Below are 13,510 nucleotides of genomic sequence, written 5' to 3'. Positions count from 1 at the left end.
ATTGTTAGAGATTCTGAGTCCAGTTTTACCGTATGTTCTAAACCAAAATGTCATGTCAGATTTGAGGTCCCTTGAGCTCTGCTGAAGTAGTAAAGGGGGATCCTTGAGTCCTATTACATTGACTTGTTGGCTGAACTCATTTCTACCTTTTCTCAGAAATGTTATTGTTTTAGTAATAGCAAAAATATTTTTATGTCCAAGACTTCCTAATAATTAATACTAAGATTTAGCATGAGCTTATTATTGTGATTACTTTGGTTTTTAAATTAGTAATGAAGAGAATTAAAGAAAACACTGTTAGGATGGCAAGAGAATATCTGGACTAGAATCAGGGACATTTTAACTGATTGGAGCATGAGTTTATTATAAGCACTTAATTTTGCCATTTCATTGCTGAGATTTCACATGATTTTTCTCTTAAAAATCAGAACATTTAAAACAAGAAATTGTTAGTAAAGTGTTAGATAAACAAAAAGGTTTTTTTTTTCCCAAAAAGGTTTACCAGTCTATCTAGCAAGGAACTCAATACAGCACAAAAGTAAAGAGCTGTGTTTCCATGCCAGAGTGATATGAGTAGGAAACTCAGATCTGCCATTTGCTACATATCAAACCTTGGGGAAATTATTTAATTATGGGAACATCAGTTTTACCATCTATAACATGGCATAATAATAGTATCAACATCATTAAATTAAAGATTAAAATAGATAATGAATAAAGTACTAGCACAGTGTTTGGCATGTACCACACTTATTGGTTCTTATTATTAATAGAATTTCTTATTAACAGCTGCAAATATGGCTCACTTGACCAAAATAGAATTTTATAGGCAATGCACTTCCACTATAGTTTTTACAGATAAAGATATATCTTATCATTGGGATTTGATGATAATTGTTGCAAAATGAGGATTAGACAGAAGATAGATGTGCATGTCTAAATTCTGTATTGAAGAATGAAAACACATATTTTTTCAACAGCACATTATGGCTCAATGAGATGTCACTATTGTGACAGGATATGAACTTCTCAATGTAAAAACAAATAGATGCAATACAGCCATAACCGTCAGATCATAATTCTTTTCCTATTAAATTGCTTAGTTGTCTGTTTCTCTAATGCATAGTGAAACATAAATTGTCAACGTTCCCTTTACTGGTTAAAATTTAAGAAAAGATATAGGCATGTAGAGCCAAGTGTTTCTAAAGCAAAACAATAAAAGGGGGATAACTAACACATATTTTTTTTTCTTTAAACTTTCTTAAAGTGAGGGACTTTGAAATGACTTAAGGATGTGAGTATCTTTCTGTGCGTCTAGTACAATGATGTAGTAGTCTTGAACACAGCACACAATGTGGCAGTTGCTATGGTGACAAGATGTTTTTCATTGAAGAACAGTTAAAATGGTGACATATAAATAACATATGCACAGTATATTGTCTCTGAGTGGAATGACCTTTGCCCTTGGACTATAAGAAGGTGTTTTTTTTCTTTTCTGAAATTCTTGTCTATTTTTGATGTGCATATGTATCTAATAGACTGGTGATCAAACTGCCCTCTTTGAAGCTGCACAGGGTACAGATCTGTGGTGAGAAAATAAAAGGTAGCTCAATATTGTATATGCAGTTAAAGGAGTTGATGGGTTGGAAATTAAAGCACTTGCATTAGGTGCTGGGCTGGCTGAAAACATTTTACACTTTACAAGCTCACTTTCCAATTAAAACTTATAGTACAGTTATATTTTCTTGTAATTTGGTGGAAAGGTTACTATATATAGCAACTAATTGTTTATAACAAAAAAAGGAAAATATAGCTGTAGGCAGAGAAGTTGAAATCTCTTCTGTTCTGAGACAAGGCACTGCTGGAGAAAAGGACACTTCATTTAAAGTACTAAGAATGCAGGCCGAGGTCTACCTTCTGCTCTCTGGCCTTGGGCAAGTCACTTAGTGACTCTAAGTCTTATCTTTAAAACAGAAATAGGGCTAACTTAATTGCCACAAAGAATAGGCAAGGGTATCAAAGTAGCAAATGCAAATGAGATTGGTATGCAAATGCAAATCATTGTTCTTATGAAGTATTATGAAAAGAAATATTTGAGAAGGTCAAATTTCAGAGTTTGTCCTGTCTGGCTTTAAAATGATAGACAGTGCTAATGGCAGTTAAACTAACTTTCTTCTTATTTCATGGCCTACTAGTCAATGTTATCTAGCTGGTAACTATTAACCTTTTAGATTATAATATATGAACATGTTCGTTTCATAAATGTAAGTTAGACTGCTGTATGTGATAGTGTGGCAGATATTCTGAATGCTTCTGACTAAAATAATCATAATTGCAGATTAAAATTATATACAAGTATGTATATCTGTGTATATATAATCTATTCATCTATATATAATAAACAATATATATTAATTACATATAACATACATATGTGTATATGTATTCATATGCATAGACAAAGAGGGAGATAGTATATATAATACATCTGGATATTTTCTATGTCTATATCTACATATATAATAAGTATCTGTGTATATATACGTATATATACACACATACATATACTTCGTTACATATCTGGCACGCAAAGAAACATTCAAATAAGACAAAAGCAATATAAGAACAGGCCATTTGGGAGGCCACTTGTTTGGCTCTGGTTTCTGCAAAATTCTGTGTTGATTCTTACATGGAATGCAGGGACGAACAGGAAGTAAAATGTAGGGTGAAGCATCTGATAGGAAATCCCATGATAAAGGTGGGATTGGCGAAGAAATACAGACTTAGTGTATAAGTGAATAAGAAATAAAATAAAGCCAAGAAGAAATACAGACTTAGTGTATAAGTGAATAAGAAATAAAATAAAGCCAAGCTTGAAAACAGGAGCAAGCAATAAGACTGCAGAATGACTAAGTAAATTTGAAAATCAGCTGAGGATTTTTAGACATCAAAAAACAATAATATATTGATGTTAAGATATTAATAGTAAGATATTAAAAAATAAAAAATATGTATACATATTATAAAGAACTAAAGCATTCATAGATAATATAATAGTTAACAGAGAAATTCTAGAAGAAACTATGTATTATTAGAATCACCCTGTATTTCGAGCACTTTGGGAGGCCAAGGCGGGCAGATCATGAGGTCAAGAGATTGAGACAATTCTGGCCAACATGGTGAAACCCTGTCTCTACTAAAAATACAAAAATTAGCCAGGCATGGTGCCTGTAGTCTCAGCTGCTTGGGAGGCTGAGGGAGGAGAATTGCTGGAACCTGGGAGGCGGAGGTTGCAGTGAGCCAAGATCGTGCTACCGCACTCCAGCCTAGCAACAGAGTGAGACCCTGTTTCAAAAAAAAAAAAAAAAAAGAGTTAATAGGAATGTAAAAAGGTTGCTCAATAGACTGTTAATATATAAATGTATTAAATTTTATCCAACAGCAACAATATATTATAATTATCAATATGAAATATTCAGTTTTAATAACATCAACCAGTAAAAGTGCCTAAGAATAAATCCAACAAATTTCAACTTTTTGATATAAGAAAGCATTAAAATACAATTCAAGAATATGTTTATATTGGAATTTACCCAATGTTTATGGATTGGAAGACTTAGTATCATAAAAAGATGAACGTTTTTAAATTTTCCTCAAAACAACAACATAAATTTTCTACAGAATTTGACAGGCTAAATCTAAAATTTGCATGGAAAAGAAAACCACCAAGAATAATTTAGATATTTCTGAGACAGGTTCTGAACAAGGTTGATAGAATGAAGATAGAAGAAATATAGGTATCAAGGTTCTGTATAAATCTAAGCTATTAAGACAGTGTATTGATACTGTGCTAAGCAAATATTCAAGTGGAACAGAATACAGAGCTCAGAACAAAGCTATGCATATATGGAAGTTTGATTTATGACAATACAGACATTTCGATCAGAGTAGAAAGAATATTTTAAAATTTATTTTTAATAAATTATCCTGAGATAATTGGTTACCCATAAAAATGAAATTAGATCCATAACTCATATATACACAAAAATCAATTCTAGGTGGACTAAAGACTTAAATCTTAATGGCAAACTATAAAAATGTTAAAAGACAAGCTAAGGAAATGTATTTATTAAACAAATAGAGTACAGAGAATGAAAAAACACCAGTCATTAAGTAAAAGACAAACAACCCAATAAAAAATTGGGCAAAAGAATGAACAGGCATTTCACGGAAGAAGAAACACTGTAGTTTTTTAATCACATGGAAAAAAATGTTCCACCTGGTTAGTAATCAGGGAAATTTAAATTAAAACTGTATCTATATATTTTTTACACATACAAGATTGAGGAAAAAATTAAAAGGTGAACAATGCTGATATTGGCTAGAATATGTTTTAACAGGAATTCTCATCTATTCTTGGGATGTGTATAACTGCTATAAGTATTTGGAAACAGTTTGGCATCAACTACTAAAGTAGGACATTTATATATTCTCTTGTCAGCAAATACACTGTTATGTGTCCTAGAGAAAGTCTTGCATGGGGATTTTTTAAGTTCATACTAACATCGTTTATTACAATAAAAATCTATAAATAATAAAAATGTCCATTATGAGTAAAATAGATATATACATATTTGGAATATCATAAAATGGAATATTATATACCAGTATAAAATTAAACTTCAGTTACAATATCAGTATAGATAAATCTAAAGATAAAATTTTGAACCAAAATAAAAGAATACAAATATAATCACTCTATATACATTTCAATCCAGACATAACTACAGTCTATATTATTTAGTGTTTAATATATGTGTATTAAAACTTAAAACACACACACAAGAAGATGATTAAAATAATATTTAGAAAAAAACAATAAACTTGCTGGGAAGAGAGGGATTAGATTGAAGGGTTCTACGTTACTAGTTACATTCTGTGTCTTTAGCTATGTGGTGGCTAAATGTAAATTCATTTTTCTATTATTCTTCATACTGTAGTATGCATGTTTCATATACTGTCATATATATGATATATTTCACATAAAGAATAAACAAGATGTCATTTATTCATTACTTTATTCCTACATAAATTTAACAGATAGTCATTGAATGCCTGTAGTCTGCCATTGTACAGATTATTTTAAATTGAATAGACAAGTTTTAGCATTTCCAAAAGCTAAATATCTAGTACGAGTTATAGACAACCATGCCAGAAATAACAATACAGAATTCTCACATTGTTCCATGACACATCTATGCACAGAAAAAAAGATAGTTAAATTGGCCTGTAGTTTAAGAGGGTTCAATGTGACAACAGACTTGAACACTGAAATCTGCAGGAGAAGGTGTTGGCCAAGAGAACAGTCCCCCAAAAAATGCATTCCAGAAAAGCCAACAGTATGTGAAAAGGCAGACATCCTAGAGAGAACAGACTTTTTAAATAACTGGATGAAACTGATAATTTGCTGGCAATTGCCATTTAATTACCTAAACTCTTTGGAAGAAGAAAACTATTGTAGGGGAAGGATGAGGAGAAGTTGGCTAATGGGTACGAAAATACAGTTAGATAGAAAGAATAAGTTCATGTTCAATAGCACAGTAGGAAGACTCTACTTAACAATAATTTAGTGTATATTTCAAAATAGCTGGAAGAGAAGATCTGAAATGTTTCCAACACAAAGAAATGATCAATGCTTGAGGTTATGAATAAGCTAATTACCCTGATTTAATCATTATGCATTCTATGCATGTAGCAAAATATCACAAAGCCCCATAAATATGCACAATTATTAAGTACCAAAAAAATCCCTATTAGATTCTTGAAAGGCAGTGAAGGGTCCAGGGAAGGTAGAACTTAAGAGAGCTGTCAAAATCTAGCCATTGTATGGTGAGCTCTTGTTGACCCAATAGCTAAACAGGGAGCTGCCAAGGGGAATCAGAAGTTCTATATTTCATTTCTTGGCTTGGTGTTATACCAAGAGAAGTAGCTCCGGTACTGGAAAGTTGATTAGGCAGGAAACCTATGTCTTAAATTAAAACAGGTTACTATCTCATCAGAGAAGAAAAGGAGTTTCTCAATAAAATAGAGGAAATTATATGAAAGAAAAACAGGTGTTGGAAAGTTCAGAGAAGGCCAATATGAATCAGAAGTAGGAAGGCAAAAAGCTAAATTAGGAAAAGAACTAGTCTTTTAGGTATCACATTTTAAGAGAGGCCAGCAAACCCTAACACATCCAATTCAAAGGGTCGTGATTAGGATACTGAACATTCCAAAACTGGGGTGGGGGTAGGGTTTTACAAAATTTAAAATCAAAAGAACTGAGAAATTTTTTGCCTAGAGAAGAGGCTCAAGGGTGAAGAAAATTGGTCTTCAAATATTTAAAGGATTGATATGTGGAAGAGGAAGTAGGCTCTCCAACTCATCAATTTTGGATAGTTACAGTGAGGTAAATTTTAGAGTAATATATGGAAGAACTTCCTGACCATTTTGATAGCCTAAATATTAAACAAGGGTTTTTGGCAATGGTGAGGACACCAGGACTGTCTCAGTACTCAGAACTAGATAGTTAATAGGCAGAGGTGATGTAGATAGAGGTGATATCAGACTCCATGAATATTATCTCTTCCAAACCAGAGATTGTTGAGCTTGTTTTTACGCTTTCTTTCCATATTTTTATTGTATCAGTTTATAACAGAGTACTGCGTAATAGAAAATTTTAAACAATAAAATTATCAAAATGAATAAATTGTTTTTTATAGAATTTGGTAGAAATAGATAGAAATTAAATGTGAACACAAGTTATCTCTCAACTCACATGAAAGCTATAATTTTAATAGTAAAATGTGGTAAGACAGCAAAGACCTTTTGAGAAATTCTTAATAAGTTTTAGAATTAAATTGCTATAAAGGTCATGGAGTAATTTTAGTCATTGCTACCAGACACAGGAAGATGTTTGGGGTCATTGCTGCCTGTCTTCTGTAGACCTAGCAGTAACTTTCCCACAATGTAAGAATGTTATGTGTGGATGTACAAACCCCTTATTCAGGATCCAGGAGATTACAGAAAACACAAATACCCTAAAAATACAAACTCTCAAGCAATTAATTTGTGATTATTACAGAAAATAGCAGGTTCACAAGCATTAGTTGACAGATTCCCACAAATGAAATTTGCAATATAAAGATCTTAACAACAAATTGCATTAAATAAAAACCACAATCGCCGAGTCTCTAGATAACTTCAAATAGTTCAAAAAGTCAGTGTCTGAGTGTGCAAATTTAGTACATCACAGTGAAGAACTCATGTTAGAAAACCCAGCTTCCCTGAAGCCAAGTATGTTTGTACTTGCCTTTACAGAAACCAAGAATCATTCAACTCATCCATGTCCTGCATAAACTCCTGCTATAAAATGAAGTTATTAATGATTTTCCAGGCTCTGATCATAGTGAGGTTTCTACTTCCTTCCATGTCTTCAAATTGAGCAGTGTTGATTTATGTTTCATCTAAAATTTTATGTAAATGTATTTGATTAAAGAGTCCTCTTCTAAAATTTGTCTTTAAAAAGCATTGGACAATATCATCCTTCTCATAGCTCTAAATATTTTGAGAACACGAAGTATGCCTGTTTGTCTCACCTCCTATTCCAAATTCCTAGCACAGTGCCTAATAGTGCTAAAGAAATATTGCTGTATGTATGAACGAATAAATAAAAGTTAAAAATTCATAATGCTATGACTAAGTGCAATGAAAAATATGAAGAACATTTCCAAGAAGTACCTTTAAATATTTATTTATAAAAACTTGTTTATTGGTCTGGCACAGTGGCTCATGCCTGTAATCGCAGCACTTTGGGAGGCCAAGGCGGATGGATCATTTGAGGTCAGGAGTTTGAGACCAGCCTGACCAACATGGTGAAACCCCATCTCTACTAAAAATACAAAAATTAGCCAGGCATTATGGCGGGCGCCTGTAGTCCCACTTACTCGGGAGGCTGAGGCAGGAGAATTGCTTGAACCCGGAAGGTGGAGGTTACAGTGAGCTGAGATCGTGCCACTGCACTCCAGCCTGGGACATAGAGCAAGACTTCATCAAAACAAAAACAAAAACAAAAACAAAACCTTGTTTATTTAATTACCAAATGTGTACTGGGCACCTACTATATTATATGCAGGTAGTATTCTACACAGCTGGAATACAGCAGTAAACAAAAGAGAAAATAATAGATAATAAATAACGGACATGAATAAATACATAGCCTGGTAGAAGGTGATGATTGCTATAGAAATAAAAGGGTAGTATGGGAGCTAAAGAAGTTCCACTCACAGAATTGGAAAGTAGGATATTGGTTGCTAGAGGCTGTGAAGGGGATGGGAGAGGATAAGGAAAAGATGATGGTTAAGAGATACCTTATTACAGCTAGACAGGAGGAATAAATTCTAGTGTTCTATAGCACTGTAGGGTGACCATAGTTAATATTAATTTATTTTATTCACAAACATCTAGAAGAGAGGTTTTTGAATGTTCTCAAGACAAAGAAATGAAATGTTTGAGGTCATGAATATGCTAATTACCATAAATTGATCATTACACCTTGCATGCATATATTGAAATGACACTGTACCCCATAAATGTGTACAATTATTATATGTCAATTTTAAAAATAAGGAAAAAGTGAGGGAGGAGAAAGAAAGAGAGAAAAGAAATAGAAATATTAAACATGAGACAGTATAAAGGGGTTCAGGAGGACCCAGGCTGGAGAGGTGGCAGGTTATAGTAATAAGCAGGGTGTTCTTATAAGACCTCATTGTGAAAGTGACATGATCAGAGATTTGAAGATGGTGATCAAATAAATTGATCATGTAGAATACATGGTGGAAAAGAAGTCTAGGCAGTAGAAACAGTGCAAAGCCCCTAAAACATACTATCCTTAAGGAATGTGAAAGAGGCCAATGCTTCTGATTAGAGTGAGCAAGCGGGTATAGTAGAAGATAAGATTCTTAATCTGCACCATTGTCATAACAAAATGTCATAGACTGGTTGTCTTAAACAATAGAAATGTATTTTCTCACAGTTCTGGAGAATAGACGTTCCAGGTCAAAGTCTGGCAAAGTCAGTTTCCTGGGAGGGCTCTCTTCCTTTCCTGTAGATGACAGACTTCTCATGGTGTACCCACATGGCCTCTCTCTGGTGGGTGTGTACAGACAGAGAGAAAGAGAGAGAGAAAGAATCTCACAGATTTGCATTGGGTGAAATGTTCTGTACTCGATCACATAATAGAAATCTGGGTTTGAAATAGAACAATTTGAGTCACTAGTAATAATGATAATAATTAAATAGTATATTATTATAACTACTATTATAACAAGCAAATGAATAATAATTTTTAAAAAGTGATTTCTGCATCATATGACTGAGTCTAAAATACACTCTTTGCTGTGAACCTTAATAATCAAGCACAGATCTCTCTCTCTCTCTAATTCTTTTTATATGGCCAATAATCCTATCAGATTAGGACCTCACTCTTGTGACCTCATTTATCCTTAATTACTTTTGAAAAATTCCTGTTTTCAAATATAGTCACATTAGGATTAAGGCTTCAACATACAAATTTCAGGAGAACACAATTCAATCCATAGCAAAGAAAAACAAGATAAAGTTTAAGGGTAGATCACGTAGGGCCATACAGATCATTGAAAAGGCTTGGGATGATTATGCCTGGAATTCTCTGCATAAAGAGTTTTATGATTCTGTGTTATATCAAGGCATAGAATTTTTTCCTCCCATTATTTTTGGATTTTAGCTTAGGGCTGAAATAACAGGAGACAAAAGCTAAGAAGACACTCAAATTGAGCCTCAAATGTCAGCTTTGAGTACTGGTGTTTAATATAATTGGAATAATTTGCCTGAATTTATTAATTAAATTCTACATCACAAACCTTGGAATTAAAACTCCTTTAATTTAACATGCAAATCTATGCAGAAACATGCAAAACAGTATTCGTAAAGCAACTGAAATGTATCTTCAGGCTTTACTGTAGGGGTCAAAGCAAGAAGATGGGAGGCAGGGAACACATTCTTTAAGAACAGTTTTCGTATGACCTAGTATACCAAAATATATGTTGGAGGCATACTGGTGAACAGGATAGTTAAACCAAAAATGGGTGAGACACTACTCAATTTAATTACAAAACTTCCTGCTGTGTGCTTATAAAGTATACTAATGGGCTAATAGATAATGTACAAAGATGTCTAATTGCCACTGAGGATCAACTATTCCACACAATATGTTAGGGGTTTTTAGCAGAGCATCCTTCCATTTAACCAGAGTTTATCCTGCCCATTAGAAGAATCTAATTCAATCATTGTTCAGTGTCATTAAGAAAAAATATGATTCTGCTGACAGCATTTGATTTAAAAAAAAGTGCAGTTCTGAAAATAGATACAGTTAGTCATTGGAATCATTATCAAAGCTGAGTTAATTATAAAAATTTTATAAGCATGTATTATTTTCAATCTTATAATAACTACTATTTTAATTATTATGATTATTATTCGTGACTCACATTGTTTTATTTTAAAACCAGACTTCTATTATGTGATAGAGTATAGAACATTTCACTCAATGAAAATCTATGAGAAGGAGAAAAGGAAGAAAGTACAGTCATTTGTATATTGGTCCAAGCAGGACCTTAAAGATCAGCTGTCTAACCTTCTCATTTTACAGATGAGGGAAGAGACCCAGAGAGGTTAAATAGTGAAATGTGAAATTGAGATGATTTGCTCTCATACGGATTTAATGGCTTCATTCCTAGCTACCCATTCTGCTTCAAATCTAGTCAAACAAGCAAATGAATAATAATTTTTAAAAAGTGATTTCTGACTAACTCTAAAATATACTCATTGCTGTGAACTTTACCAATCAAACACAGATTTTAACCTTAGATCAAAGGAGTAACATTTTCTCAATTTAATCAGACTACAAAAATTTCTGTGTGTTAGTTATGACTGCAAGCTATTTTATTAGTGTATATTTTAAAGCTCATTCAGGAAAGGCAATATAGCCTTCCATTCTCTTTCAGATACATTACCCTAGGTCAGTTTTCAAACCCAAAAGGGAGAAAGACATCCAAATAAAAAAATTAGCATCTGGCTGGGCATGGCTCACACCTGTAATCCCAGCACTTTGGGAGGCCGAGTTCTGGCAGATCACGAGGTCAAGAGATTGATACCATTCTGTCCAACATGGTGAAACCCCGTCTGTACTAAAAATACAAAAATTAGCTGGGCATGGTGACGTGTGCCTGTAGTCCCAGCTACTAGGGAGGCTGAGGCTGGAGAATCACTTGAACCTGGGAGGTGGAGGTTGCAGTGAGCTATGATCATGCCACTGCACTCCAGCCTGGGCAACAGAGCGAGACTCTGTCTCAAAAAAAAAAAAAAATTAGCAACCATGCATAGATTTATCTAAATACAGAAATTTCACGCAGAATAGATCTGTGCTCATTACACTAGAGCATATTACCAAGAGAATGCTTTTTAAGCCAAAAAAAAAAAAAAAAAAGATGCCGAAGACCTTTTTTAGACCCCATCCACCCAAGGGTCATTGCTCTACTGCAATCAGTGCTTATGGTCACAGTTATAAAGTGGTGACTCTTATAACACTGTCATGAGTTATAGCTCAGAAAGTATGAAGCAGAGAAACCGGCAAAGCTGACCCAACAAAGATAGATATAAAGTTAGCAGAGGACTAGAGATAACTTTATGCCAGTTGCTAAGGGTGACGTACAACTGATGGATAATGTAATAATGCACATTAAGCCACACTTACACTAAATAAGTTCACAACATCATTAATATCCATAACAGCAGGGGCATCAAGCTGACTGAGGTAAGTAAAGGCGTTGATGATAAGGATGCCTTAAGGAAAGGCCTAAACCCCTAATGACCTGATATGATGCATAACAAAACAGGGAAAAAAGGACACTGTGGTTTCAGCTTCATTTGTCCTTGTTTTTTAACTTGAACAGCCCTCTAACTCTTTTTTTCACAGCACTGCCATATTTCACATGTCCTTCTTTTTGAAGGTAACAGATACATCTCTCATCTTATGGACCTGCATTCTCATGTTAGCAAGTCTGTGACTTTCTCATTTGTCCTGACTGCTCATCCCTATGCCGGGGCTGCTTCTTTGGTATTCCTATTCTTTGCATTTTTGTCTGTTTCTCATTTTATTTAATTCTCAGAAGTGTTGTAAACTAAGTTCTCTTTAAAAAAACATTTTTTAAGATACAGGGTCTTGCTGTGTCACCCAAGCTATAGTGCAGCGGCATGCCCAGAGCTCACTCTAACCTCAAATTCCTGGGTTCATGAGATCCTCCTCTCCGGTAGCTAGGACTACAGGCATGTGCCAACAAGCCTGGATAATTTTCTAATTTTTATTTTTTGTAGAGATGGGGTAGCTTTATGTTACCCAGGCTGGTCTCCAACTCCTGACCTCAAGCAATCCTTCTGCCTCAGCATTTCAAAGCACTGGGATCACAAACATGAGCCACTGCACCCAGCCAAAAACTAACTTCTATTTAACAAAATCCTTCCCTGTCTTCTGCTGTACATTGCAATAGGGAGAAACAAAAAAAGAAGAAAAAAAATAGTATATGAGGAAGTTGTGCATGTATGAAGGCTATGAAGGCTATCTCTAGGCAAAATTAAGTGGGCAACTCCATTTCCTTCTGAAAATCCACTCTTCTCTCTGTTCCCAGTTTATAAACGATGTGGCTAATTAGACCATTTACTATGGTATGCCAAATCCGAACTTTTGATACACTCACCACCATCTCCGTAGAAGCCAGTTGACTTAATAATCTGTTAACTGTAGCTAATTAATTTGAGTCCTTCAGATAGAATATGCCTTGACTGGAAGGAATGACTCAACCGGAACAATTTTAAACCTCATTTAAATGGATTCTAGAGTATGAAGCAAGGAGTATGGGATATTGTAGCTTCCTTTATAATTCTGTGTTATATCAGGGCATAGAATTTTCCCATTATTTTTGGATTTCGGCTTAGGGCTGAAATGACAGGAGACAAAAGCTAAGAAGACACTCCATTTGAGCCTCAAATGTCAGCTTTGAGTACTAGTGCTTAATATAATTGGAATAATTTGCCTGAATTTATTAGTTGAATTCTAGATCACAAACCTTGGAGCATAGGTAATCCAATTTTGTAGATGGGGAAACAGGTCTGAGGAAGTTAAATAATGTGCCCACTATCAGAGAGCCTTAGTAAATGTTGGGACTAGGATTCAAACCTAGGCAACCTGAATCCACAGCCCAATGTCTCCAAGTGCCTACTTGTTTCTGAGGTTATTATTTGTTGAGAACACTCCAGAATCACTGTAGTAATATAATCACTGTTGTCTGACTTTGGTCAAGTGACTTAAATTCTCAAATGCAAAGCAAGAGTGGTTGAGTAGACGATCTCTAAGGTCTTTGAGAATTCTAACATTCTA

The 13,510-nt window shown here is 34.2% G+C and overlaps 1 long non-coding RNA gene across 1 annotated transcript in view; it reads right to left on the bottom strand.

The window, feature by feature from the left end:
- Nucleotides 1–13,471, bottom strand: part of LINC01362 (long intergenic non-protein coding RNA 1362) — a 263,633-nt gene extending 250,162 nt beyond the window's left edge. Inside the window, exons 1-2 of the long non-coding RNA NR_147074.1 lie at nt 12,831–13,471; nt 9,072–9,186 (exon numbers count right to left, since the gene is read on the bottom strand). This is a non-coding gene — a long non-coding RNA (long intergenic non-protein coding RNA 1362). The remainder of the gene's footprint in view (nt 1–9,071; nt 9,187–12,830) is intronic.
- Nucleotides 13,472–13,510: the final 39 nt, after the last annotated feature.

This window comes from Homo sapiens, chromosome 1 (genome assembly GCF_000001405.40).
Source record: "Homo sapiens chromosome 1, GRCh38.p14 Primary Assembly".
Taxonomy (NCBI): domain Eukaryota; kingdom Metazoa; phylum Chordata; class Mammalia; order Primates; family Hominidae; genus Homo; species Homo sapiens.
This window is presented reverse-complemented; position numbering and strand designations above follow the sequence as displayed.